Source organism: Homo sapiens, chromosome 8, assembly GCF_000001405.40.
Source record: "Homo sapiens chromosome 8, GRCh38.p14 Primary Assembly".
Taxonomy (NCBI): Eukaryota; Metazoa; Chordata; class Mammalia; order Primates; family Hominidae; genus Homo; species Homo sapiens.
In genome coordinates, this window is record NC_000008.11 from 58,483,250 (window position 1) to 58,510,668 (window position 27,419).

Consider the following 27,419-nt stretch of genomic DNA (forward strand, 5'->3'; position numbering starts at 1 on the left):
CATAGAGAAAAGACGGTGTGGGGGCACAGGGAGAAGGTTGCCATGTGCACACCAAGGAGAGAGGCCTCAGGAGAAACTAAACCTGCCAGCACCTTGATCTCAGACTCTCCAGCCTCCAGAAGCCTGAGAAAATGCATGTCTGAATAAATGGTGCTGGGAAAACTGGCTAGCCATATGTAGAAAGCTGAAACTGGATCCCTTCCTTACACCTTATACAAAAATCAATTCAAGATGGATTAAAGATTTAAACGTTAGACCTAAAACCATAAAAACCCTAGAAGAAAACCTAGGCATTACCATTCAGGACATAGGCGTGGGCAAGGACTTCATGTCCAAAACACCAAAAGCAATGGCAACAAAAGCCAAAATTGACAAATGGGATCTAATTAAACTAAAGAGCTTCTGCACAGCAAAAGAAACTACCATCAGAGTGAACAGGCAACCTACAACATGGGAGAAAATTTTCGCAACCTACTCATCTGACAAAGGGCTAATATCCAGAATCTACAATGAACTCAAACAAATTTACAAGAAAAAAACAAACAACCCCATCAAAAAGTGGGCGAAGGACATGAACAGACACTTCTCAAAAGAAGACATTTATGCAGCCAAAAAACACATGAAAAAATGCTCATCATCACTGGCCATCAGAGAAATGCAAATCAAAACCACTATGAGATATCATCTCACACCAGTTAGAATGGCAATCATTAAAGAGTCAGGAAACAACAGGTGCTGGAGAGGATGTGGAGAAATAGGAACACTTTTACACTGTTGGTGGGAGTGTAAACTAGTTCAACCATTGTGGAAGTCAGTGTGGCGATTCCTCAGGGATCTAGAACTAGAAATACCATTTGACCCAGCCATCCCATTACTGGGTATATACCCAAATGACTATAAATCATGCTGCTATAAAGACACATGCACACGTATGTTTACTGCGGCACTATTCACAATAGCAAAGACTTGGAACCAACCCAAATGTCCAACAATGATAGACTGGATTAAGAAAATGTGGCACATATACACCATGGAATACTATGCAGCCATAAAAAATGATGAGTTCATGTCCTTTGTAGGGACATGGATGAAATTGGAAACCATCATTCTCAGTAAACTATCGCAAGAACAAAAAACCAAACACCGCATATTCTCACTCATAGGTGGGAATTGAACAATGAGATCACATGGACACAGGAAGGGGAATATCACACTCTGGGGACTGTGGTGGGGTCGGGGGATGGGGGAGGGATAGCATTGGGAGATATACCTAATGCTAGATGACACGTTAGTGGGTGCAGCGCACCAGCATGGCACCATGTATACATATGTAACTAACCTGCACAATGTGCACATGTACCCTAAAACTTAAAGTATAATAATAATTAAAAAAAAAAAAAAAAAAAAAAAAAAAAAAGAAAATGCATGTCTGCTGTTGAAGCCACCTGCTCCCCGGTCCTTTGCTACGGCAGCCCTAGTAGGCCAATACACTGCTCTTTCCCACTTCCTCAAATTCCTCTGTATGGTGCCGTCAGCCCTGTCCCCTCCACCTCCCTCCCTTTACTGGCAAAGCTGAATGAAAGGTAAATAAAAGGATAAGCTTTAAAGTAAAATGATAAGTAGTCTTCTGCCTCTTGTTTTACTCAGCTACAAAATAAGGGATTCGCTTTTACCTATAACCTGGAGACTCTATGATTCTAAATCACCTCCTGTGAAACTGCCTCCTTTGAAAATTCCTAAATGACTCCTTCAGAATCTTCATGTTTTATCTCCCGTCCTCTTTTAAGACGTCTGTTTTCAAGATAAATTAAAACCATTTCTTAGTCAAATTAAAACCATTTCTTAGTCAAATTAAAATATTCATATTTCAACAGTGGGTTTTCTCCCTTTCTTTACGTTTGCATTGTAAAATTATTCAAAACAGAGTGGCTCATGATATTATGGGTTACACTGACTTTTGTTTGTTGCTCTGGGAACCTAAGTCCCATCTATAACATAATTTCTTCAATAAAATGTGTTCTGAGTCCCAAATATTCTATTCAAGAGTGAATCTTTGAAACACACTGCTTATACATTGGGGACTGTTTAAACATGGTTGAATTGAAAGAAGTCATACATCCTGACACTATTTCTTTGGAAATAAGCTTTCATTATTATGAGACAAGTTGCTTGGCCTAATTATAATAAAAGGAGAAATCAAACAGGTGGCCAGCATTATGGAGCCATCCTCCAGCCCCAGAAAACTGTACAATGAATGGATTTCTTCATTGTGCTGCAAAGCAAAGGCCTGACTGGAACCAGAAACAGGCTTAGACCTTCAGCAGGCTTAGACCTTCAGCAGGCTGAACATTTCTGAAATTTCACTTAATAAAGAATAGAAAATAAATAGGAGACTCAGTACATAAATGACTGGATTGCGGGTCAAAGAAGACTGTGTCTGCTTCCCCCCTGGGCCTTTGCCCCATGCCGGTCTAGTGACTGTGCCAATGGGGCTCACCTCTCTGTGTCTCTGAGCCCTGTCAGCAACCTGCTCAGCTGCCCACAGAACTGATGCCTTCTCCACCTCCAGTTTGTTTCAGCAAATAGTAAACCTGCCTTGTCACGCAGCGTGGGCCTGAGCACTAGCCAGCTGTGTTCTCAATTCTGTGTGTAGCTCTTTCCCAATATTTCAATAGTGTGAGAGATCAATAGAGAGAATCAAAAAGACCTGCTAGTAAAGCAACCAGCGTTTGCAACTCACTAGAGCCCAGGCTAAGAAGAAAAACAGAGACCCCAAAGTGCCCAACGCCTCCGCACAAATAACACACTTATTCCATCACCGTCTTCAACTCTTTGAGCTCCCGCTATGTTTAAGGTGTCAATTGGAAGCTTTGGTGGGCTATGCAGTTGAATAAAATACAATTGCCCTCCTTGGAGAACTGCCATTCCCTGGAATCACTCCAGAGAAGTGATGAAGTAAAGGCACTTACAGCCAAGTTTCTGAGAAACTGCTGACTCTGTTTGATTGCCACATGTCTGTGGCCAAAGCACTCCCAGGGACACCTGAGCTCACTCCAATACCTCCCCGTGGCCCTGGCACACTGTTACCTGGAGCACCAAATGTTTCACCGAGATGATATCCCGTGTCCCTTCATCTGCCCCCAACCATCTTCTCACCAACACACTCCAAGAAAAACTGTGAGGAGAAGTATTTTCCTGTACATATTTTCCTGCATGCACATACTTTTGTGTTTTAAAATAACAATTTCTGTTTCCAGTGGAGTTTGTTTCACATTGCTTCTTGCCAGAAAATCAAAAGAAAAAAAAGGTTCCATTTTGATGTCTTGTTGGTGATAGTGGCGAAGAAGATAATCAATACCCCATCAGCTCCCTCCTGATCCCCCCATTCCTTGCTCTTCTCCAAAGAATTATAGGAGCCAGAAATAAAACCTCAAATTGGAAACTTGAAAGGAAATTAAATATGAAAGCCTTAAATGAAATTACTTTTCAAGCCATCTTTCTGAGTAAAGGCAAGTGTGGCAAAGTATTAGGATGAATCTAGGTGAAAGTCATGGGTATTCAATGTATTCTTTAACTGTTTTTCATGGATTGAAATTCTGCAAAATAGCAAATGGGAAGGTGATCAGCCCTCCTCCTGTCACCCCTCACTTCTCTCATGAATTCTCTCAAACAAGTACTTATAATTCTTGAAACTGTCATTGATTTAATCCATGAGGACTTGCTCCAGAACTGTTAAGCGTTGAATCTATATTCTAATTAACTTTGCCACCTATGGTTGGATAACTGTCAATGAGAAATGGTTCTTCAAAATGGAGTTAAGGCTACCAAAGATTGTGGGTGCACATTTTTTTCAATAAAAATGGGGAGTTTTCATATAGTCATCCAAAGTTTATGAATATTTTTATTTTTTACTTTTTACTTTTTTTTGAGACAAGGGCTTGCTTTGTCACCCAGGTTGGAGTGAGTGGCACAATCTCGGCTCACTGCAACCTCTGCCTCCCAGATTCAAGAAATTCTCCTGCCTCAGCCTCTGGAGTGGCTGGAATCACAGGCATGAGCCACCACGCCTGGCTAATATTTGTATTTTTAGTAGAGATGGGGTTTCCCCATGTTGGCCAGGCTGGTCTCGAACTCCTGACCTCAGGTGATCCACATGCTTTGGCCTCCCAGAGTGCTGGGATTACAGGTGTGAGCCACCACACCCAGCCAGTATTTTTATTTTTAATTAATTAATTTTATTTGTTCATTTTTTTTCATATGTAGGTTTATTGATGAAGAAATGGACTTTGTGGAGTCTATGAAACCTATGCCTGTATTTGGAAGGTAGGTCCTAACATATGCATTAGTTTAGTTCAGTGGATACAGCATTTCATGTGCAGATAGGAGGTTTCTAGATTGGGGCCTGTCTTATAACTTGCTATGCAACCCTTTAAACAAAAATCACCTCTGTTTCACCAAATATCAGTTTCTAACTAAAATGAGGGCTTAGACTAGAGAACTTTAAATAGCTGTGAATCGTCTGTGAAGCATCCGTGCTGCTGTCTTGACCTCACTTCACAGGCCCGAGCCTCTGCGTTGGTATCAACCAAGGCAGTGTGGAGATGATGCTGATGAGAAGCTGTATTCCATAATCCACTCATAAAACCAAGGCTAAAACCTTAAGCCCATTGCCTCAAAAATGTATAACACGGAGCCTAAGAGAAACAATATGAGATTACACAATTAACTCCAAGGTGTTGGTGAGATGAAGAGACACTGTCCTACCTGAAGGTGAGCACAGCATAATGTTGTATTTGATTATACTGTGGCTCTTCACGGGCTCTCAGCTAGAGTCGTCAGCCTCCTTCCTGACCTTCCTAGGCCTGGCAGCTGCAGTGCCCCACCCTCTGACCAAGTGATCCTCCCAAACAGTGAGGATTTAGGGACAGAAGTGTCATCATGGATTTTGTTTACTGTGGCGTATCTTTTCAATGACCTGAGTCAAGACAGCCTGTCACCTGGACTTGCCACAAAGGGAAGAGTGCTGGCTGTGGAGTTGGAGCAACCTGGATTCCAATACTCCCAGCTCTTTCACCTGTCAGCATTGTGACCTTGAGCCAGTGACTTAACCTTTCTGGAGTTCTGCCTTTCTCTTCTGTAATATAGAGGTAATAGTAACACAAATCTCAAAGGACTCTTGAGGATATGATGGGATGGTGCATGGCATGTGGAGTAGTGACCTGGCCCTGGCCCATGGGAATCTGAATAGATTTAACCATGAAAATCTCTCCTCCTAGGTCTATTTGATCTTATAATAGGTTGTAATGTCTTTTAGGTGCTTTTGAAAATAAAAATATCTTTCTAAATGGAATGGTTTCATCTCCAATAAAGTTCTAACTTAATGTTGTCTAAGATAAAATTATATCTATAGCTTTATTTATTTATTTATTTATTTTGAGTCAGAGTTTTGCTTTTGTTGCCCAGGCTGGAGTACAATGGCGTGATCTCGGCTCACTGCGACCTCCATCTCCTGGGTTCAAGCCATTCTCCTGCCTCAGCCTCCCAAGTAGCTGGGATTACAGGCATGTGCCACCATGCCTGGCTAATTTTTTTTTTTTTTTTTTTTTTGTATTTTTAGTAGAGATGGGGTTTCTCCGTGTTGGTCAGGCTGGTCTAGAACTATCGACCTCAGGTGATCTGCCTGCCTTGGCCTCCCAAAGTGTTGAGATTACAGGCATGAGCCACTGTGCCTGGCCATCCATGGCTTTTTAAATGTATTCTCCTCGCATGCTTTTTTCAAAAAAGACAAAATACTTCATATACCAATGCATGTATACATTCTTTAAAGTTAATAAAATTACAGTACAAAATAGCCTTTGGGATTGCTATACAATAGGGATTGGCAAACATTTTCTGTAAAGAACTAGACTTTAAATATATCAGGAATTGTGGCCACATGGTCTCTGTTGCAACTGCTCAGCTCCACAGTGGCATCACAACAGCAGGCGCAGACAAGAATGCAAACAATGGGCATGCTGCGTCCTAATAAAACTTGACTGATGGGTGTGGAAGTCCAAATTTCACATACTTCTCACATGTCATAAAAGATTCTTATTCTTTTGATTTTTTTATCTAACCATTAAAAAACGTAAAAACCATTCTCAACTTTCAGGCTATACAAAAACAGAGGCGGGAACCCTTTGGTCCATGTGCCATCAGTTGCCAACCCTTGCTCTACAAGAACAAAGACATGGAAAAATGTGGGATGCATTTAAAAAGTCATAAAATCTATTAGGAAACCACATTGGAAATTTAGTTTATCACTGTTCACTATAAAATAGATGTTTGTTAATCTTGAACCACATCTAAATGACTTTAATTTTCTTAATATAAAAGATAACCTACTTAAGGGATAAATCTATGGTAATATTAAATAGCAAGATGAAAACTTGTAATAAATTTTATGTAGTATGAGGGAGATTTTTGAGTAAATTATTACATTGAATATTTTTGCAATATTTGAATATATGAGTATTTTGAATGAATCCTGAATAAAATTGTTGTTGTTTAGCTTATCAGTGGGTGAATGTTTTAAACACTCTGAATAATTCAAAATTTAAAACACATAGATTCGGCCAGGTGTGGTGGCCCGTGTCTGTAATCACAGCACTTTGGGAGGCCGAGGCGGGCAGATCACCCCAGGTCAGGAGTTTGAGACCAGCCTGCCCAACATGGTGAAACCCCGTCTCTACTAAGGATATGAAAATTAGCTAGGCATGGTGACACGTGCCTGTAGTCCCAGCTACTCGGTAGGCTGAGGCATGAGAATCACTTGAACTCAGGAGGTGGCAGTTACAGTGAGCCGAGATCGCACCACTGCACTCCAGCCTTGGCGAGAGGGTGAGACTCTTTCTCTAAATAAATAAATAAATAAATAAATAAATACACATAGATTCATACTTTTATTTCTGAAAGATGAATCATTTCAAAATTATCAAATGTTAGAATATTTTCTTAATATTTGTAAAATAAGCAAAAAGGTAAATATAATTTAAATATAAATACTACACAGAAATATCAATTGACATAGAGCTGATAACTCATACTTAAAATATTTTATCAAAGCATTGTTGTACACAGCATTTAAACACTCGAGTCACCTTAGTTTTTTTCATCTGCAAGTCATTTAGCGATAAAAAGCATTTAAATAAAACATAATGTCAAGCTGCACTTAATACACTCCACATGTTTCATAACCAAAGCTTCCAAATGGCTATTTCCATCCAGTTTTAACTTTAAAACATATCACATAAAAGCTACATTTTTTCAGTGATAATGTGTATTTAACAATGACAGAAAAACTACCTTTTTTAATCTCTGAGAAAACTCTTCTCATTAATGTGAATGAAATAAAAATATAGAGAAGATAGTTAAAGCCGGACATAGAGTTTTCAGCAACAATAAGTTAAAACATGAAGGGAAAATAAAACCACCTTTAGTGTTTTTGGGAAATCAAGATAATCATGTTTAAAGCCCTGAATTTTGGATATAGAAGAAGTTGAAAAATATTTCCTTTTTATTAAAAGACATAACTAATCATAATCATTTGAAATATCCTTTATGATATATGATCACACCCGAAGAACCCCACCATCTAGTCAACAAATAATGCAGTTTCACTAGAACGTGAATTTGAACATTTTTTCATAATTGTCAGGCAGTTTTATAAAAATAAAGCAGTTTCCTTAGGAAAAAACAATCTGCCAATTAGAATACATATCTTTTCTTCGGAGACGGGATCTCACTAAGCTGTCCAGGCTGGTCTTGAACTCCTGGGCTCAAGCCATCCTCCTTCTTTGGCCTCTCGAGTAGCTAAGACTACAGGTGCCTGCTACCACACCTGGCTGTAATGTGTATCTTCATTTTGAAAAAAAATAAAATAAAGGTGTTTTCCTTTGAAAATAATAAACTTCAATCCCTGGCTATATGAACATTCATGGACTTATACAAATGAAAACAAATTATTGTGCTCCTAGAAACTAGTTCTTTTCACTAGCAGAGTCTGTGATAGCATCTGGAAACTGTCACCAAAATGTTAAGATTCACAAGCAAGCACTGGTGAACAACATTGGACCTGGTGAATCATTTCTACCACCACTAAATGCATTTGTCCAAAGGGACTGTGTGGTGAGGGTGTTCTGCAGTCCTGTAATATCATCTAGTGTCCTCTTATTCCAGCCATGTATTCACAAATGCTTGAATTTATATTTAAATTCAATATCATTCAATGGCGGCAAAATGCCCAAGCCTGCCCGGGACTGGTCCAAAGGTGGACATTTAGCTTGGCCCTCTATAAGCTCCAATTCAAAATAAGAAAGCATCAGAATCAAAAATTGCTTGATTTCGTGGATAGCGAACAATCTTCCAGGACATATTGTAGCTCCCGATCCAAAGGGCATGTAGTAATACTTTAACTTGAGTCCATTACAATAGAAGGTAGTCTTTGTCTTCCCGTTTTCATCAAGATACCTATCATATTTAAAAGTCTGCAATAAAAATACAAAGAAAACCGCCTTTAAGCTAGTTTTAAAGAAATTTATCTCTTTCTAAACCTGGAAGCTCCAAAGAGTAATTTTCTTTTTAATTCTACCCCATTAGTGATTTAGCAAATACTCCACATTGAATCAGAAAGTAATAAGGAACAGGAGCTTAATGAGCTAAGGAAGCCTTGTGATACCTCCTATCCTGCTTGAACGATTAGTTCCTTAGTCAGGCAGAGCTAGAGAGAGAAGGGTTCCCAGAAGAAACTAGAATAATCAATATATTAGCCTCCAATTTCCTGGATTTGGGAGGAGGTGCTTTTTAAGAAAAAAAAAGTGGCAGGTTTATTATCATGACTGCAAATATAATCTAGCAAAGACTGTGTGATGGCAAATATCAGGACTAAAATGAAAAATTCAGACCACTATCTAAATTTTCCAAAATATATGAATATTTAACACAATTAAGCAGACAATTCCTGTGACTACAATGATAAAATCAATTCTACCATTGTAAATTTCCTCTTTATTTAGATCTAGGTAGCTATCACCTGGATATTGAATTTCAATGGGCAGGCACTTACCAAAGGGTCTGGGTAGATTTCTGGATCTAAGTGCATTAACTGTGGGTAAAGAGCTATGATGTCATCTTTTCGGATGTTGTAGGAACCGTCCTCAAGGTGCAAAGTGAAATCCTCCTTAGCTGTCCGGATGTTGAGGGAGGCACTGGAAAGCCTCAGCGATTCCTTGATTATACTATCTAAACATTTTAAAAGAAAAAAAGATAAAAAATGAAAGAAGGAAGGGAGGAAGGAAGAGAAGAACAAACCAAGTGTTTGAAGGTCATATGATATAGAGTCTGAACTACAGACAGCCTGGCAGTGCATAACACAAAGATGAACAGGGTATGGGAAGCTGATCAGATAAAAATTTCCCAAACTTTCTTTCTGTTACCACTATGCTGTTATCAATGATTCAACTGTGTCTGAATTTTTTTATTTTTGTTTTTCTTTTTAGCCAGGGTCTCATTCTGTTGCCCATGCTGCAGTGCAGTGGCATGATCCTGGCTCACTGCAGCCTCAACCTCCCAGGCTGAACTGATCCTCCCACCTCAACCTCTCGAGTAGCTGCGACTATAGGCATGTGCCACCATACCCAGCTAATTTTCTTCTTTTTATTGTTTGCAGAGACAGGGTTTTGCTATGTTGCCCAGGTTGCTCTTGAGCTCCTAGGCTTAAGCAATGTGCCCATCTCAGCCTCCAAAAGTGCTTTGATTACAGGTGTGAGTCACCGTGCCTGGCCTGAATGTATCTTTAAATCTGATCCTGAGTTAATAATAATCTTTTGATTAAGAGATAATCATCTTGGTCATAATTGGGAAACAAAATTCCATCATTTTATAGAAGAGTAATGTAATAAAACTGGAAAAATCAGTAATACATTTTTATAGAAATTATTCAAAGTTTATCACTTCTGAGATTTAATATACTGAGGACTTCTGAGATTGAATATACTGATAGCACTGACACATACATATGTTTTTTCTAGGTGTTTAATGCAGCTTCAGTTCAACATTTACAAGAACCTATTTTTATCCATATACTATCTGATGCTGCGTGGCGATCACCGCTGCCCGGTAAAGGCATAAAGGGACAAAAAGAACCAACCTGAAAATGGCTGAAATATAGAGAGCTCGCGAGAGGTCCAGCCTGACCTTTTAGCCGTATCCTTTAACTGTCATGTTTTAGGGTGCTCATCACATGATTGTGTATAAAATTCCAGAATGTTAGCATTTTATTTTACAGATAAGAAAAGTAAGGCCCCCAAAAGAGTACTGACATGTCCAAAGTCTCCCAAGTCAGCCCCAGCATGGAACCTAAGCTTCTTGCCTCCTTAAAGAAAATAACCAAAAAAAGAAAACTTTATTACTATAAACATATCATATTGTTGGCCGGGTGCGGTGGCTCATGCCTGTAATCCCAGCACTTTGGGAGGCCGAGGCGGGCAGATCACTTGAGGTCAGGAGTTCGAGACCAGTCTGGACAACATGGTGAAACCCCGTCTCTACTAAAAATACAAAAATTAGCCAGGGGTGGTGGCGTGCACCTGTAATCCTAGCTACTTGGGAGGCTGAGGCAGGAGAATGGCTTGAACCCAGGAGGCAGAGGTTGCAGTAAGCCAAGATCGCGCCATTGCACTCCAGCCTGGGCAACAGAACAAGACTTTGTCAAAAATAAATAAATAAATAAAAATAAAAATATCATATTGTTATAGTTCCATAAAATATAGAAAAGCAGAACAAAGAAAAATCAAAGCACTTTCAAATCCATCACTCAATCCATGCAGGTAACTGTGGTTTCTTAATGGTTCTTTTCCCTCCTTTATTTTATGAAAATGACTAATATGCTTCCATTAACCATCAGATTAGTGGTAAGAGGAATATGAGAAACATGGTGTGGCAGTGCAGGGTGGTAGTTGAGAGAATAGGATGCCACATAATGATGTATTTGATTCTACCCTGGCTGCAGCTTAACCTCTAGGTGTCAGTTTCCTCACTTGGTACAAATAAATAGTAACAGTCCCAAGTCACAGGACAGTTGTGAGGATTAACCGAGAAAACTCATATGAAATATTTAGTTTAATGCCTAGAATTCGGTAAGTATATAATTTATGTTGGTCATTATTGTTAAAGTAGTAGGACATAGAAAATGAAACTCAACATAACAAGTATACCCACCTAATACTGGCAGGTCATTCAGTTCTGCTTGACTCAAACAAATAGGATTGCCTTCCAAGCTGACTTTTTGACCAGCATTCTCTAATGTTCTTTTCACTTCTTCAGTAGCTGCTTTCATTGCTTCTGGGTTCCTATTAAAAGGTAAGAGAAAACATGTATGTACAGAAAATAAACTTTTTCCATACTTTGAGATCTGCAAACAAATAGGCCTTTCCCCCTTCTTTTAACTAGATGGTGAAGATACCAGGGGAGGAGGGAAAGGGATATTCCTGTTTGCATTTACTCCATTTGTAATTGGGTTTATGTCCTTGGATATTAGTAAGAATTGTTGCCTTAAAATGACCTTGCGGCCGGCCGTGGTGGCACACGCCTGTAATCCCAGCACTTTGGGAGGCCGAGGCGGGCGGATCATGAGGTCAGGAGTTTGAGACCAGCCTGACCAACATGGCGAAACCCTGTCTCTACTAAAAATACAAAAATCAGCCAGGCATGGCAGTGGGATCCTGTAATCCCAGCTACTCGGGAGGCTGAGGCAGGAGAATTGCTTGAGCCCGGGAGGTGGAGGTTGCAGTGAGCCATGATCGTGCCACTGCATTCCAGCCTTGGTGACAGAGCAAGACTCTGTCTCGAAAAAAAAAATAATAATAATAATTAAAAAATGGGACTTTGCTACATAAAAGTTAAACTTTGGTGAGGGCTTTTATTTTATTTTTATTTATTTATTTATTTATTTATTTTGAGACGGAGTCTTGCTCTGTCGCCCAGGCTGGAGTGCAGGGGCGCAATCTTGGCTCACCGCAAGCTCCGCCTCCCGGGTTCACGCCATTCTCCTGCCTCAGCCTCCCGAGTAGCTGGGACTACAGGCGCCCGCCACCACGCCCAGCTAATTTTTTGTATGTTTTTTAGTAGAGACGGGGTTTCACCGTGTTAGCCAGGATGGTCTCGATCTCCTGACCTTGTGATCCGCCCGCCTCGGCCTCCCAAAGTTCTGGGATTACAGGCGTGAGCCATTGCGCCCGGCCTGGTCAGGGCTTTTATAAATAAGTGTTTCTAACAAGGATTAAACATGTCTAGGGAGCTACATAACAAAATTACAGTAAGTTGAGTCTCAAAATGTTTGATAAGTATTTGTAAGACTATCATAAAATATGGCTACAATTTCCTTTATGATGTTAAATTGATGCGTATGCCTGCTGTAAATATGTGAATTTATTCTGGATGTGCTTTTTCAAGTAATAACTTTGGAAGATAGTCAACATTTGTGACAAATTAGTAATAAGTTCTCACATCTGAAATTAAGTTTTAAAATATTTTATAAGACCTAAAGTCATCAGCCATCAATAGAAATTTGGCATTCCCAATCCTATGGAGGAGCAATTTTGTGTCTACATGATACTAAATATCTAATTTAATTGGAATAATTCAATAGACCATTCTAATTTCAAATTCCCAAAAGATTAACACTTTGGAGAGAAATCATGTTATGTAAAACATATGTTATTACAGTTTTTTTCTGTTACATACAGTTTTAAAAAGCACAACCTAGCTAAGTCTCTTATCAATAATAATAGATTATGATTGATTCATAGCTCTCATAGTTGGTCAAATAAACAGAAGAACAGCAATTCCTAACTGAGTGAAAACAAACTGTGAATGAACAAATAAGTAAGGCATAGTCACCGCCCTGATTGTTGTCCATAAATCAGTAATCACTTAAATACATTTAATGATTATGAAAACTGCATTTATGGAGTGGAGTTGGCGTCGTGAAGAACAGTATGGGGTTAAGAGCAAGGGCTCTGGGCCAGGCAGCCTGAATTGACCCAACACCAGCACATACAAGCTCCGTGGCTTGGGGTGACATCTCTTTCTCTGGGACTGTCTTTGTTTCTATAAAACACTTTTACCAGCCATAGCTGCCTATGTTTTTCTGCGGACTGAATGAACTCATATATGTTAAACACTAACATGCATTAGTGCTACGTTCTTGATTGACGGCATGATAAAGTACTACGAGGCTTTTTTTCTTAAAGTTAAAGTGGTTTAATTTCTACTTTCTACTAAAATAAAAAAAAGAAATGGATATGGCGTTAGTCACCTAATCATTTGAAATAAACTCCAGAAAGTCGCTGGAATGGTGTTTGCTTGCGATGCCCAGAGGACCACGAGGTGTGTCTTGGCCTTCTCCAGATCATCAAAGGTGGACAAAGTGTCATTGAGAAACATGCGCAGGCTGATCAGTTCTGAGATGCTTTCCCTCTTTTGGAGGTTCTCGTGCCTCAAGCTCTCTGCCAGTTTCTCCCGGGCATTGTGCGCAGTCCTGAACATGTGAATGGGGAGGCCTGCTACCAGGGCTGGAAAGACTTTGTCGAATTGCTTGAAGTTGTCAAGATTGTTTAGAATATGTGCTTTCTGTGTGTCCCGCCTTGTAAGATCTCTGCCAAAGATAGTTAAATACCCAGCTTCAAACATCACTCGGTAGCAGAAAGAATACATCCCTTCTGTCACCCAGGCAGCGGTCTTTGAGTTAGAGGAGACTGGAGGTCTCATGATACGTTGGAGGTTTTCCATCATGCTTTCCGTGAGGGAATTCAAGGCATGGCCCTGCAGGGTTTTGATGAAAGTGTCGTTTATGTTTTCAGTGGTATTTCCATCCATCGGGTCAATGCTTCTGTGCCCAAATGCCTGATAGCAAATAAAACATGCAGAAAAAGAAGTTAAACCTGACCTAGTCATAGTAAATGACTGAAAAACGGATTAGATACTTTCATAGTTCCTTACTTGGTAAACACGGGAAATTGGCTTTCCCTTGTACAAGTTCATAGCACTTTACAAATAAATGACCAAACTGTACCTTTCCTTTAAAGCCAACTTCAGTGGCACTCCCCTGGATCACTCAAGTCATCTATGTCTTATTTCTTATGCTACTGCACTTATTTACAGCTATTGCACATAAACTAATTGATAATGTTTTAAAATCATTAGTTATCTTTTATATTATTTGTAGATTTCTTTTTCTTTTTCTTTTAGAGATGGGGTCTCACATTGTCACCCAGGCTGGAGTGCAGTGACACAATGATAGCTCACTGCAGCCTCAAACTCCTGGACTCAAGCGATCCTCCTGCCTCAGCCTCTCAAATAGCAGGGACTACAGGTGTGTTCCATTGTGTCCAGCTGTAGATGTATTTTAACCAAACTTTAAGCTACTTAGTCACAAAGACCAAAGCTAATATTTATTTGCAGTAAGTAAGTAGTTATTGGTTTTTTTTCTCAGTAACAGATCTTCTTTTATTACATCTAAATGATGTTAAAATATCTTGCCAATTCCTTATCAAAATGAAACACTGTGTGGCACAAGTGTGGTGAGACAACTGCTGAATGTTAGGTTTCCGTCACTTGCATTCTTGCATAGACATTGCTGATGTGATGAATTTTTATCTATCTTATTCGTACAGTGCCACCTGTCTCAGTAGAGCATTTAATCTGTATTTCACCCTCATTAGCTCGTCAACAAATGACAAATCTATACCTATTTTGACTTTCTAAATGATTATTACTAAGAAGCTACGTATAATTTATTTATGTTTCTAAGAATCTCCACATAAGGATAACTCTCTTCAACACCTTTATCATAAAATCTAAGTACATCAAAATTTCTAAATAGACAAGCACATAAAAAGGTAGAAGACAAACAGAATGGTATATAAATGTAAAACTGCTTACCTTCGCAGAAGTAGCAAAGTGAAATTTTTTCCAATCAAAATATTTTCCGTGGCACAACACCTTATGGTATGACAAGGGATTTGTGATGAAATGGACATATTTTCCCATTAGTTTGCAGGTAAAAACATGACCATGTTTCCTTTGATTTGCTCTGAGGAACTCAAGAGGATTGGCACCAAATTGCAGAGCACAGCCCAGGTATGGAATTAATCCATTCTCTAGAGGTGGTTCACCCGTTTGCCTGTCAGACACAAGTGTATGATAGACATGGATGATTACAGTTTTGGGTTTTTACTTACATCAGGTTTTAAAATTTTTCCCACTGACTTCAAACTTTGAAACCCTATAGTTTATAGATATTTCTTTTGTTGGATGGGCCCTGCTCTTTTACTACAGTAATAGGTTATATTAACCTAGTAACATGATATGTTGGTGGAAAGGATTACTAAATCCATCCATTCATGCATCCGTCCATATACACATTCAACAAGCACCCGTCTACTATGTGCTCATCACTTTTCCCAGTGATACAGGCAAAAGGATTTACAAGACCAACAAGATTCTTGTTGTCAGTGCGGAAACAAAACTACATTCTAGTGTTTATCACTTTGCTAAGCATCATTTTTCTAAATATCTCAAAATGTTTCTTTTGATTATTTTCTTTAAAGACACAGATCACTGAATAAGGGAGGATTTCAGAACTGAGGTTTTGAAAATATTCCTAGTTTAAAGATATCTATATTATATTCTATAAGGATGGTTTCAGAGAAGAAGAATCTCATGTGAGAAATCAGCTTATTATAAAATGAAATTGAGTAAGATAAACACTGACGGAATCATCTATTGTAATTCAGTGCTCCTTTAAAATGTTTTTATTAGAACATGTAAACTTATTTTCCAACATAAACTTCTGTACCTCTTGATAGAATAATACAGTATAAAGTAATTACCTTTCTTTTCTTAGTTTGAAGATAAGTAGTTTAATTAAAAGTAAAAACTATCAGGCCTGAAAGAAACTGCAAAAGGCAGAAAACACATAGCAATCTACAAAGCTGAAAGATGGTTAGGGTTATTTTCTCTTTTTGAGATTGACATAGCAGAGAATATCTATATGCCTCCCCACAATTACTCCTTGAGCCAATTAGAAGTTAAATAAACTATGGTTCTGGATCTGACTGTATTTGTTTTTCTTGCATTCTTGAACCAGTTGTAAATAAATGAAATCGATGTCACATACACTCAGCAAACTTTCCCAATTCACCACAGTTGATTAACATTTATTTAAAAACAGTAATAGAATGATCAGCTCAGGCTCTATGCTCTTGTTCAGGCTTAGGCTGAGTCTATGCGATGCACAAGAATGAGCTTAAAAGAGAACATTTATTTAACAAGAGTATCTATTGAAGCCATGTGAGAGAAAGCAATCCTTTCCATTGTAGATTCCCACTTGCTACTTGTATCCTTACTAATCTGGGCTTCCTCTTTAGATACACATATAAATGTACATAGAGACCTTATACAATTTCTGTCAGTTATGTTTAACACCAATATACATTTATATATTACCATCGGTATATGCCAATACTAAAAAGGGAAGCTGTCATATGTCTTGTGAGATATAGTAAAAAAGATATTACTTTAAAAATTCAAATCAAATTTTTCATTTAAAAAATAAGGAAGATAATGCTAATATGTGTAAGTATAGAAAACCAAATTTACTGTATAAAAATGAAGGTAAAAAAATTAAATGGATGAATCAAAGAGCAATTTAAAGATAAAACATTACTTACCTTCTCCTAATTCCAAGAATAAGCCATAGACAACAGCATGCTGCTATAGCAATCCCCCAAATCAAAGATGTGGTCATCATTTTGCAAATCTAGGCCAAAATCTCTGAGGAAGAAAATCTCTGATTAGAAAGGGAAGGATGCCACTGAAAAGAGACTCAAGCTAGGCTTTTTATATACATAGTATCCAGATCCATTAACTTGAGCTTGGTTGACAAAGCAAACAATTAGCCATTTGTTCATTCTATTAGAAAAAAAAAAGTGGTAGTAACTGGCCTTGAACTAAGTCCACAGGTATCAGAAGTGGTTCCAAAGCAATCAGAGACCTGCAATACTTGATAAGTTGAAGGTCTCTCAAATATATGTTGACTTAACATTCGGACCTGGGGACAACAGCTAATATTAAGAGTTTGGTATGTGTAAAAAGAACAAATAAACCTGTTTAAGATGGGCATAGCTAATAAATACATAAACTATAATCATTTAAAGAAAGATAAGAATGAGTTATTCATCAAGCTTATAATTTGGTCTTGTTAACTTTTAAAGAAGAATTAATTTAGGTGCTTTGCCAGAGAGACGGTGATCAAGTTCAGAGGAAAGAGAACTGGGAAAAACATTTCTGCTGCTTCATGTTTCAGTGCTTTTATAAAATCATAGATATTTTACTACATATAGTAACATGTTACTCACCTAACATCCTCAAGAGAGTATTCTACATAAGTGCATCCTCTAGATAAATATAACTTATTGGAAGCATCAAAATTTTATCTATCATTCTTGTGACTAAAATGTTTATCAATGTTTCTAATTATTAAAGTAATAAATTTCATTTCAAGTAAGTTAAGACTAACTAAAACATATCTTGGTGGAAAGTGAACATCTATTAATAATTTACCTACCATGCTACTCCTTTACTCAGAAGTAACCACTAGTAACAATTTGGCATCTGTTCTTCCAAACTTTATTTCTGTGTACACAAAAATATTAGTTGAGTATTTATTACGTGCCAAGAACTCTTCAAAAGTATTCCAGTTGCAGGCATTAATAAGATAGGCAGATTTCCTAATCTAATGGAGATTCTATTCCAATGGAGAAAGGAGTAATAAAATACATGTTATGAAAAAAATAAAACATGGTATAGAAAGCTATGGGGGAATGAGGACAACTTTAGATATGATGATCAGAGATGGGCTCTCTGAAATTGTGACATTTGAGATCTGAATGACAAGAAGAGACTACTCATGTGAATATCAGAAGGAAGGATATTCCAGGAAGAGGAAGCAGCAAATGCAATGTCTTGAGTCAAGGATCAACTTGGTGAGTCTAAGAACCAAAAAGAAGGATGTATCCTACTGAAGCAGAGTGAATGAGAGTTCACAGAATTAAGACAAAAGAAGGTAGGCAACAGTACTGTGTGTGTATATATATGTATATAAACACACACACACATACACCCACAGTATTCTCTATATTTATACATGTGTGTATCTATATGTGTGTATAAATAATTATATTGAATATGTGCTTAATCTTCCATTGGATAAATGTACTATAATTTATTTAACTGATTTCCTATTGATGGATATGTGGGTTGTTTCCAGTTTTGGCTATAGATGCCATAGATTTATTTCATGTGTTTTTTGTTTTTGCCTGTTTAAACAGAGATCACACATTTTTTGTGTGTAATTTATCACCATAAATATTAATATCAATCATTGTATGGCAGTACATAGATTTTTCTTAGAATCTAGGTTTTTGGGGGGCTTTGTGCATTTATTTAGACAGGTGGATTTTTAAAAAATTAATATATCTTTTTAAAAATATGGCTTATAGAAAAGCTGATCTTATACATGGACAATCACAGCAAGATATCCCAGTCAGATAAAATGCCAATCTAATATCCAAATAATACAGCCCTTTAGAGTTACTTCTCGGGCAAATGAAGAACAAGCAAATATACAAAAATGGAAAGGAAGTCAGGCATGGTAGTGTGACATGGTTTGGCTGTGTCCCCATCCAAATCTCATCTTGAATTCTCACGTGTTGTGGGAGGAACCTGGTAGGAGGTGACTGAATTATGGGTGCAGTTCTTTCCTGTGCTATTGTCATGATAATGAATAAATTTCATGAGATCTGATGGTTTTAAAAAGAGGAGTTTCCCTGCACAAGCTCTTTTCTTGTCTGCTGCCATGTGAGATGTGCCTTTCTCCTTCCATCATGATTGTGAGGCCTCCCAAGTGATGTAGAATTGTAAGTCCAATAAACCTCTTTCTTTTGTAAATTGTCCAGTTTCAGGTATGTCTTTATCAGCAGCATGAAAATCGACTAATACAGTAAACTGGTACCAGTAGAGTGGGGCACGGCTGAAAAGATAACCAAAAATGTGGAAGCGACTTTGGAACTGGGTAACAGGTAGGGATTGGAACAGTTTGGAGGGCTCAGAAGAAGACAGGAGAATGTGAGCAAGTTTGGAACTCCCTAGAGGCCTGTTGAATGACTTTGACCAAAATGCTGATAATGATATGGACAACGAAATCTAGGCGGGGGTGGTTTCAGATGGAGATGAGGAACTTTTTGGGAACTAGAGCAAGGGTGACTCTTGTTATGTTTTAGTAAAGAGACTGGCAGCGTTTTGTCCCTGCCCTAGAGATTTGTGGAACTTGGAACCTAAGAGAGATGATTTAGGGTATCTGGCAGAAGAAATTTCTAAGCAGCAAAGCATTCAAGAAGCAACTTGGGTGTTGTTAAAGGCATTCAGTTTTTTTTGTTTTTTTTTTTTTTTTTGAGACAGAGTCTTACTCTGTTACCAGGGCTGGAGTGCAGTGGTGTGATCTCGACTCACTGCAACCTCCGCCTCCTGGATTCAAACGATTCTCCTGCCTCAGTCTCCCAAGTAGCTGGGATTAAAGGCACCCATGACTATGCCCAGCTAACTTTTTGTATTTTTAGTAGAGACAGGGTTTCACCATGTTGGCCAGGCTGGTCTCGAACTCCTGACCTCGTGATTCGCCCGTCTCAGCTCCCCAAAGTGCTGGGATTACAGGCGTGAGCCACCACACCTGGCCAGGCCTTCAGTTTTATAAGGGAAGCAGAGCACAAAAGTTTGGAAAATTTGCAGCCTGACAATGCGATAGAAAAGAAAATCTCATTTTCTGAGGAGAAATTCAAGCCAGCTGCAGAAATTTGCATAAGTAACAAGGAGCTGAATGTTAATCCCCAAGACCATGGGGAAAATGTCTCCAGGGCATGTCAGAAGTCTTCATGGCAACCCCTCCCATCACAGCCCCAGATTCCCAGGAGGAATGTATAGTTTCTTGGGCCAGGCCCAGGGTCCCCCTGCTGTGTGCAGCCTAGGGACTTGGTGCCCTGTGTCTTAGCACTCTAGCCTGGGCCACATAGACAGACACCAACTTTTTTTTTTTTTTTTTTTTTTAAAGGGAAAGGGTATGGGGGAACCTCTCAGTACAATCTTAGCAACTTCCTGTGAATCTAAAATCATTTTGAAATTAAAAGGCTTCCAAAAATGGTAAATACATGGCTTTGCAGATGCTGATGACACCCGGAGCCCCCTGCTATCAGCCATGGTCAACTCCACTGTATTATCTAACATCTTGGGTCATGCCTTTTTTGAGCTGTTTGCAGACAGAGTTCCAAAGACAGCAGAAAACTTTCATGCTCTGAGCACTGGAGAGAAAGGATTTGGGTATAAGGGTTCCTGTTTTTACAGAATTATTCCAGGGTTTATGTGTCAAGGTGGTGACTTCACATGCCATAATGGCACTGGTGGTAAGTCCATCTACAGGGAGAAATTTGATGACAAGAACTACATCCTGAAGCATGCAGGTCCTGTGTTGTTCATGGCAAATGCTGAACCCAACACAAACGGTTTCCAGTTTTTCATCTGCACTGCCAAGGCTGAGTAGCTGGATGGCAAGCATGTGGTCTTTGGCAAGGTGAAAGAAGTCATGAGTATTGTGAAGGCCATGGAGAGCTTTGGGTCCAGGAAGGGCAAAACCAGCAAGATCACCATTGCTGACTGTGCACAACTCTAATAAATTTGACTTGTGTTTTATCCTAACCACAGACCTTGTGAGAGCACCCCTCCACCCCATTTGCTCACGTTATCCTATAATCTTTGTGCTCTTGCTACAGCTCCTTTGGGTGTTATATATTCCCTATTCCCTTCCATACCTAGCTGGATTGCAGAGTTAAGTTTATGATTATGAAATAAAACTATATAAAGCTAAATAAAAACTAAATAACAACTGTCAAAAAAAAAAAAAACTGTGAAATATATTCACAACCCTCCTCACCCCCTCTCAGAACATCACAAGCTCCTTTCAAATGTAGATTGGTCAGTGTTTATCTAGATTTCCTTTACCCTAATATTTTTACTCCCACACTTACAACCCCTCTTCTATACAACAAAAGCACAGGAAACATACACACCCAGAAAAGCAGAGTCTTAAATATTCATATTTATTCATTTTTCTTATTATACGTAGTTTATGTTTTTCCTTCTCAGGATGTCACTTCTTGCTGCTGTCATGTGTCCACAAATGGTACTTATCACAGCCCAAATGTGCTGCTTTTAATCCAACAGGTGGAAATTCATATGCTTGTTACAGCTGTCAAAACTATTAATAGACTGTAAGGAAATACTAAAAGATTTCCTGATGAGTGAATGGATTTTATGACAACTGGATGTGTTTTTAGCACAGCGCCTGGTGCATCAGTTATTGAATGAATGCTAGCTCAATGGCACGTCCTTTGCCTGCTTTTCTCTTCTCTTTTTTTCGGCTGGTAAAGTTTTATTTATTCTCTTTCTCTATGTCTCTGTCTCACCATCTTTCTCTCTGTGTGTCTCTCTTGTTTCTCTGTCTCTCTCTGTGTCTCACTCTCTCTGTCTCTCTCTGTCTGTGTCACACACACACACACACACACACACACATGCTGTACCTCTACTACATGCCAGGCTCTGAGTCAGCAGTGGAGACAATGTGAGCAAGAAAGCCCTGAGCCCTGGCCCTGTGGAGTTTCCACTGCGTCAGGAGAAAGCGTAAGTGCCCTGACAAAGAAAAGAGGTAAAGTTGCCAGAAAACCTGGCAAAATAAACTGAGTTCTAATAATAAACTAAATTCTAATCCCACCACAACCTGTTAGTTTCCTCTTGTTTACATAGAGTAGTGAAGAGGACCACACTTCCTAAAGTGTGGAAGAAATACTTATTCCGGGCCTCAGAAAATATAAAGCCTGAATCAAATATCTCAACCCCATGAATGGAAATATACAAAACATAGAAGCTCAAACCAGAGGAGTAGAATGTAAAAAGAACAACTAAAACTATGAGCTTATGTAAACCCACTATGGTTCAATGAACATAGAACACACACATCAGTTTGATTGCTTTAAATAAAATGAACTGAGAACATGGCCAAAAAATTGAGTCAAACCAGTTGCTTTCCTGAATTCACAAGTTAAACCACCTCTCTGTAGTGGGACACAGATTGCCTCAATTAAGAAAGCACTTTGCATTTTCCAAGAGCATCACAGAGCTGTACTGAATCAAGACTGTATATGAGGTTTCTAAGTCAGGGCAAAGTAATGGGAGTCTATTGTGGAATGGGCTGGTGAAGTCTTGTCGTGATTAATTTGGGGCTTTCATAATAAACACATTCGAGCCACATTTTCATGAAGCCATAGGGAAAGAAACCAGTTATGGCAAATACAAATATAGTTTTGCATCTTAAATACATGGTTTTGAGATTGTAAATGCCTAGCAGGAGTAGAGAAAAAGAAGGTGTTGACAAATTCTAAAGGAATCATCATAATTTTTACATTCATTTTGAGGTTTTCACATTTTAAAAGCTTCTCTTGTATTTTTCTACTTTAATGAAATAACTAACTTGGGCAGGACAGGTATTTTGACCATGTTAAAGATGAGGAAGTAGAGGCAAGAAGGTTCAGTGGGAAATATTACATAGCTTGAATTAGTTCGAATGGTAGATGAAGAGGAAGCTGCAATTAAATCTAGATTTGCATGTTGGCTTGGCCATTAAGTATTTACCTTTGAACAAGATGCTTTTCCTCTCCAAGTCTTTGCTTTCTTATCTGTAAAATGGGGATGATTATAGTGCATGACTCATAGATATTAAGACGAAATAAGACAATGTGTGTAAGACAGTTAGCCTAGCACTTGGCACAATGTATGCTCAAAAATGTTTGCTATAGTTAATAAACTGGCAAATCCAGGATTCAAGCCCAGATTGCTCTGAATTGAAGTGTGATAGTCCACCTTTACAGCACAGTACCTCACAAGAAGTACAGGGGATTCAAAGGCCATCTGACTACAGGTTTAGGAAAGGGTAAACACACCACCAACTGGGTATGAATAAATCATATGCATTTCATTCATTCATTCATATGAACTTAATATGTACCTTATGCAAGGCACCTTTTAAGTGCTGGAGATGCAGAGATAAATAAGACAGGCAAAGTCGCTGCCCTCTAGGGGACATAGCTAATCAACAGGAGAACAAATATATTGATTTGATTTCTGACAACAAGAAACCACCATTTTTTACTATCAGAAAAAGTCTGACCAATGCATCAATATTCAGTGTCAAGATCATCAAAAACTTGCTTCATTTAATCCACAGGGTAGCACCATGAAGCAGGCACTGTTGCCTCAATGTACAGATGACTGAATATGGTGAAGCTCTGGCTTCAGGCCCAGGGCAGCCCCTACTATGCGGTGCTGTAGCACAGGAAGAACTCCATTCATCCAAGTTAAAGACAGGCTTGGGGGCCTGGAATCAAAGAAGGCTAAGTGGTTCCTTTACTTTTGTGATAAGTTTCATCCCAGTCTCAGCCTTCTGAAACTTAGTCCAAGAAGCCCAACTGGTTCATCAGACTTGCTGCGACCAATTAACCTTGCCAGCTCAGGGAGAGAGAGAGATAGAGAAGAGGGCAGTCAGGGGGAGGGAGAGAAAGAGGGAGAGAGAGAAAGATAGTGGAGCTTTTTTCCTGAATGTGAGCAATCCTGGCTCCTTTTATCTCTCCGATGTCATGGACATATTTCCAAAAGGACATATTGAAGGAAACCAAATCTTGAGCCATTGAGGAAGCTGGTCTTGTCTTCTCAGGCCAGCACAGGGCAGTTCATTAGCTGGGGTACTATTTTCACTTTCCTGACTTTCCCTAGCTCCTAGGAGGAAGGCTGAGGTTCTTAGACATGGAGCACAGAGAGAGTAGAACAAACCTCTGTATGTTAATGGCCCTGGAGATGTTCTTCAACTGGATCACTTGCTGAAGTACTATTTTCCCCTGCAGATAATGAGATGAGAAAGAAGACTTTTCCCTATAGGCTAACAGAACAAAAGGTGGTGAGGAACCATGAAGAATGTTAGCACCTTGACCTCTGACTTGCTCCATTTGTTCTGTTGTAAAAGGCAAGTAAGTTCTGTTGTCTTCTTTCTGACATTTTAAGAAAATGAGAAAACATTTTTGGAAATACATGAGGAAAGTATCGCTGAAATGTGTGGCAGAGCCTCTACTGTGGGGCCAGGGTCTTCACATACATTGTCTCATTTAACCCTTACAACAATACCATGAGAAAACAGGAGGTCAGAGTTTCAGCAACTTCCCAAAACTCAATTCACGGGAGTTGCAGATCTAGGATGCAAACCCAGGGCTCTGGGACTCCACAGCTCACATGCATGCCCTTTATATTTCAGATTTTCTCTCCTAGAGCTCCAGGGCTCCCTGTTGTGGTGGGGGAGAAAGCCAAAGGAGAGGCTCTGCCCACTGCCCTCTTCTGCTTCATGAAAGAGGACTGTAGTATGAAGTTTGTTTCAAGGAAGGGCTCCATAACTAAAACAAAGCAAAATGAAAACAGCACAAGCCCTTTGAAAATCACTGTGGAATGCCAGTTACCCCACAAACCCCATGCCATCAGATATTTTCAATGATTTAGTTACTTTTTATTCATTTTTCTTGAGATAAAATTCAAGTACCATAATATTCACCCCTTTAAAGAGTAGAATTCAAAATTTCTAGCATATTCAAAGATTGTGTGACCATCACCCCTATCCAATTCCAGAACATTTTCATTATCCCCAAAAGAAATTCTATATCCATTTGCAGCCACTCTCTACCCTCAATCCCTGGCAATCACCAATATACTCTCTGTTTCTATAGATTTGCCTGTGCTAGACATTTCATATAAATGATATGACTCTATTATGTATAAATATTTGCATCTGACTTCTTTTATTTAGCATAATATTCTCAAGGCTCATCTACATTGCAGTATTTATCAGTATTTAATTCCTTTATACGGCTGAATAATATTTCACTAAATGGATATAGGACATTTTATTTACTAATCAATTAATGGATATTTGGGTCGTTTTCACTTTTTACTTGCTATTAATAGTGCTGCTGTGAACATTTGCAGACAGGTTTTTGTGTAAAAGTATGTTTTAAATTTTCTGACTATGTAGTTAAGGGTGTACTTGCCTGTCTTATGGTAACTATATTTAACTTTCTGAGGAACTGCCAAACTGGTTTCCAGAATGACTGGACCATTTCACTTTCCCATGAATGAGGAAGGAGTGTTCAAATTTCTTCATATTGTTTGTCAACACTTATTGTTGTCTGTTTTTTAAATTATAGCCATCTTAGAGGGTAATAGGTTGTATCCCATTGTGGCTTTGATTTACATTTCTCTAATAACTAATGATGTTAAAAATCTTTTCATGTGTTTATTGGCCATTTGTAAATCCTCTTTAGAGAAATGTCTATTAAAGTCCTTTCCTTATTTTGTTAAACTGGGTTTCTGTCTCTTTCATTGTTGGGTTGTAAGATTATTCCAGGCAATTAGACCCTTATCAGATAAGACTTTTACATATTTTCTCCCATTCTGTGGGTTGTCTTTGCACTTTCTTGATACTGTCCTTGGATGCACAAAAGTTTTTATGTATGTATGTATGGTTTTTTTTTTGAGACGGAGTCTTGCTGTGTCACACAGTCTGGAGTGTAGTGGCACAATCTTTGCTCACTGCAACCTCCACCTCCCGGTTCAAGCAATTCTCCTGCCTCAGCCTCCCAAGTAGCTGGGATTACAGGCACATAACACCACACCTGGCTGATTTTTGTATTTTTAGTAGAGATGGGGTTTCACCATGTAGGCCAGGCTGGTCTCCAACTCCTGAGACCTCAAGTGATCCACCCACCTCAGCCTCCCAAAGTGCTGGGATTACAGGCGTGAGCCACTGTGCCCAGCCTTTTTATCTATTTTATTCTTATTTTTTATTATTATTTTTTGAGATGGAGTCTTGCTCTGTCACCCAGGCTGGAGTGCAGTGGCGCGATCTCAGCTCACAACAACCTCTGCCTCCTGGGTTCAAGCGATTCTCCTGTCTCAGCCTCCTGAGTAGCTGGGACTACAGGTGCCTTCCACCATACCTGGCTAATTTTTGTACTTTTAGTAGAAATGGGGTTTTGCCATGTTGGCCAGGCTGGTCTCGAACTCCTGACCTCAAGTGATCAGCCCACCTTGGCCTCTAAAGTGCTGGGATTACAAGCATGAGCCACCATACCTGGCCACAAAAGTTTTTAACATTGATGAAGTGCAATTTATCTATTTTTTTTTGGCTGCTTAGACTTTTGGTGTCATATCTAAAAAACATTGTCTAATCCAAGGTCATGAAGATGTATGCTTATGTTTTCTTCTAAGGGTTTTATAGTTTCAGTTCTTACACTTAGTTCATTGATTCATTTTGTGTTAATTTTTACATATGAGCTGAGGGAGTAGTCCAACTTCATTCTTTTGCATGTGGATATCCAGTTGTCCCAGCACCACGGAAACCTATTCTTTTCCCCATGGAAATCTCTTAACTTTCTCATTGAAAATCAGTTGATAAATGCATGTGTTTGTTTCTGGACTGTCAATTCTATTCGATTGATCTATATGTCTATCCTTATGCCAGTAACACAAAGTTTTCATTACTATAAGCTGTTAGTAACCTTCAACATCAGAAAGTGTAAGTCCTCCCATTTTTTTTTTTTAGATAGAGTCTCACTTTGTCATCAAGGCTGGAGTGCAGTGGCATGATCTCGGCTCACCACAACCTCCCCCTTCCGGGTTCAAGCGATTTTCCTGCCTCAGCCTCCTGAGTAGCTGGGATTACAGGCACACACCACCATGCCCGGCTGATTTTTGTATTTTTAGTAGAGATTGGGTTTCACCATGTTGGTCAGGCTAGTCTCAAACTCCTGACCTCATGATCCACCTGCCTCGGCCTCCCAAAGTGCTGGGATTACAGATGTGAGCCACTGCGCCTGGCCCAATGTGTTCTTTTTCAAGATTGTTCTGAATATTCTGGATTATGGACACTTTACATTTCCATGTGGATTTCAGGATCAGCTTGTCAATCTCAGCAAAACTGGAAACTGGAGCTTTGATAGGGATTGCACCCAATCTCTAGATCAATCTGGAAAGAGAGTATTACCATCCTAACAATACTGTCTTCTGATCCATAAACATGGGTGCCTTTGTATTTATTTAGGTCTTCTGTAATTTATTTCATTGATGTTTTGTAGTTTTCAGTGTACAAGTCTTGTACTTCTTTTGTTAAATTTATTCCTAAG

The 27,419-nt window shown here is 38.9% G+C and overlaps 1 protein-coding gene and 1 pseudogene across 1 annotated transcript, besides 29 other annotated features; one reads left to right on the forward strand and one right to left on the reverse strand.

Annotated features, from left to right (window-relative positions):
- Positions 6,929-16,914, reverse strand: CYP7A1 (cytochrome P450 family 7 subfamily A member 1). The gene is made up of 6 exons (NM_000780.4): positions 16,770-16,914; positions 14,980-15,220; positions 13,355-13,941; positions 11,257-11,387; positions 9,104-9,279; positions 6,929-8,525 (listed from the first exon to the last, which is right to left on the reverse strand). The coding sequence occupies exons 1-6, from the start codon at positions 16,847-16,849 to the stop codon at positions 8,226-8,228; spliced, it is 1,515 nt and encodes a 504-aa protein (NP_000771.2). The 5' UTR covers positions 16,850-16,914; the 3' UTR covers positions 6,929-8,225.
- Positions 8,509-9,708: an enhancer, noted in NCBI's record as "BRD4-independent group 4 enhancer chr8:59404317-59405516 (GRCh37/hg19 assembly coordinates)". NCBI's record gives its function as "activates an origin of replication core promoter dependent on BRD2, P300/CBP, MED14 and CDK7 cofactors, and independent of BRD4, by STARR-seq in HCT116 cells {active_cell/tissue: HCT116}" and the evidence as "EXISTENCE:reporter gene assay evidence [ECO:0000049][PMID:35650434]".
- Positions 15,197-17,285: a matrix attachment site, noted in NCBI's record as "HindIII/XbaI fragment containing multiple regions that bind nuclear matrix". NCBI's record gives the evidence for it as "EXISTENCE:protein binding evidence [ECO:0000024][PMID:10869351]".
- Positions 15,197-18,792: a biological region, named in NCBI's record as "CYP7A1 5' regulatory region". NCBI's record gives its function as "regulatory_interactions: CYP7A1".
- Positions 15,206-16,792: a silencer, noted in NCBI's record as "intron 1 silencer fragment". NCBI's record gives the evidence for it as "EXISTENCE:reporter gene assay evidence [ECO:0000049][PMID:10869351]".
- Positions 15,321-15,350: a protein binding site, noted in NCBI's record as "CDP site 5". NCBI's record gives the evidence for it as "EXISTENCE:protein binding evidence [ECO:0000024][PMID:10869351]".
- Positions 15,358-15,758: a DNaseI hypersensitive site, noted in NCBI's record as "DH3-DH4; the nucleotide coordinates are approximate for this feature". NCBI's record gives the evidence for it as "EXISTENCE:in vivo cleavage assay evidence [ECO:0001075][PMID:10869351]".
- Positions 15,415-15,444: a protein binding site, noted in NCBI's record as "C/EBPa-2/CDP site". NCBI's record gives the evidence for it as "EXISTENCE:protein binding evidence [ECO:0000024][PMID:10869351]".
- Positions 15,415-15,444: a protein binding site, noted in NCBI's record as "CDP site 4". NCBI's record gives the evidence for it as "EXISTENCE:protein binding evidence [ECO:0000024][PMID:10869351]".
- Positions 16,192-16,218: a protein binding site, noted in NCBI's record as "CDP site 3". NCBI's record gives the evidence for it as "EXISTENCE:protein binding evidence [ECO:0000024][PMID:10869351]".
- Positions 16,197-16,597: a DNaseI hypersensitive site, noted in NCBI's record as "DH2; the nucleotide coordinates are approximate for this feature". NCBI's record gives the evidence for it as "EXISTENCE:in vivo cleavage assay evidence [ECO:0001075][PMID:10869351]".
- Positions 16,220-16,245: a protein binding site, noted in NCBI's record as "C/EBPa site". NCBI's record gives the evidence for it as "EXISTENCE:protein binding evidence [ECO:0000024][PMID:10869351]".
- Positions 16,243-16,276: a protein binding site, noted in NCBI's record as "CDP site 2". NCBI's record gives the evidence for it as "EXISTENCE:protein binding evidence [ECO:0000024][PMID:10869351]".
- Positions 16,516-16,545: a protein binding site, noted in NCBI's record as "CDP site 1". NCBI's record gives the evidence for it as "EXISTENCE:protein binding evidence [ECO:0000024][PMID:10869351]".
- Positions 16,516-16,551: a protein binding site, noted in NCBI's record as "HNF-1a/CDP site". NCBI's record gives the evidence for it as "EXISTENCE:protein binding evidence [ECO:0000024][PMID:10869351]".
- Positions 16,808-17,208: a DNaseI hypersensitive site, noted in NCBI's record as "DH1; the nucleotide coordinates are approximate for this feature". NCBI's record gives the evidence for it as "EXISTENCE:in vivo cleavage assay evidence [ECO:0001075][PMID:9013589]".
- Positions 16,890-18,792: a promoter, noted in NCBI's record as "-1887 to +24 promoter fragment". NCBI's record gives the evidence for it as "EXISTENCE:reporter gene assay evidence [ECO:0000049][PMID:8895049]".
- Positions 16,947-16,979: a protein binding site, noted in NCBI's record as "-67 to -35". NCBI's record gives its function as "positive regulation of promoter activity" and the evidence as "EXISTENCE:protein binding evidence [ECO:0000024][PMID:10403849]".
- Positions 16,967-16,984: a protein binding site, noted in NCBI's record as "BARE-I". NCBI's record gives the evidence for it as "EXISTENCE:protein binding evidence [ECO:0000024][PMID:19106115]".
- Positions 16,967-16,984: a protein binding site, noted in NCBI's record as "BARE-I". NCBI's record gives the evidence for it as "EXISTENCE:protein binding evidence [ECO:0000024][PMID:19106115]".
- Positions 16,969-16,984: a protein binding site, noted in NCBI's record as "site I". NCBI's record gives its function as "negative regulation of promoter activity" and the evidence as "EXISTENCE:protein binding evidence [ECO:0000024][PMID:14960721]".
- Positions 17,029-17,049: a protein binding site, noted in NCBI's record as "nt-138". NCBI's record gives the evidence for it as "EXISTENCE:protein binding evidence [ECO:0000024][PMID:11518759]".
- Positions 17,036-17,063: a protein binding site, noted in NCBI's record as "site II". NCBI's record gives the evidence for it as "EXISTENCE:protein binding evidence [ECO:0000024][PMID:10777541]".
- Positions 17,036-17,063: a protein binding site, noted in NCBI's record as "site II". NCBI's record gives the evidence for it as "EXISTENCE:protein binding evidence [ECO:0000024][PMID:11773435]".
- Positions 17,038-17,059: a response element, noted in NCBI's record as "BARE-II". NCBI's record gives its function as "mediates inhibition by vitamin D" and the evidence as "EXISTENCE:reporter gene assay evidence [ECO:0000049][PMID:19106115]".
- Positions 17,038-17,059: a protein binding site, noted in NCBI's record as "BARE-II". NCBI's record gives the evidence for it as "EXISTENCE:protein binding evidence [ECO:0000024][PMID:19106115]".
- Positions 17,040-17,070: a protein binding site, noted in NCBI's record as "-157 to -127; contains site II". NCBI's record gives the evidence for it as "EXISTENCE:protein binding evidence [ECO:0000024][PMID:10744771]".
- Positions 17,124-17,345: an enhancer, noted in NCBI's record as "-432 to -220 enhancer fragment". NCBI's record gives the evidence for it as "EXISTENCE:reporter gene assay evidence [ECO:0000049][PMID:1312351]".
- Positions 17,142-17,165: a protein binding site, noted in NCBI's record as "site III". NCBI's record gives its function as "mediates repression of transcription by thyroid hormone" and the evidence as "EXISTENCE:protein binding evidence [ECO:0000024][PMID:11773435]".
- Positions 17,198-17,226: a protein binding site, noted in NCBI's record as "-313 to -285". NCBI's record gives its function as "positive regulation of promoter activity" and the evidence as "EXISTENCE:protein binding evidence [ECO:0000024][PMID:9013589]".
- Positions 20,306-20,999, forward strand: PPIAP85 (peptidylprolyl isomerase A pseudogene 85; annotated as a pseudogene).

What these genes read in the sequence shown, in the direction of transcription:
- CYP7A1 (NM_000780.4), bottom strand. Translation starts at nt 16,849, where the DNA reads ATGATGACCACATCTTTGATTTGGGGGATTGCTATAGCAGCATGCTGT. An exon ending in ATTCTTGGAATTAGGAGAAG is followed by an intron (nt 15,221 to 16,769) that starts GTAAGTAATGTT and finishes TGTGTCTGACAG; the next exon opens with GCAAACGGGTGAACCACCTC. An exon ending in GAATGACCTGCCAGTATTAG is followed by an intron (nt 9,280 to 11,256) that starts GTGGGTATACTT and finishes TAAAATGTTTAG; the next exon opens with ATAGTATAATCAAGGAATCG.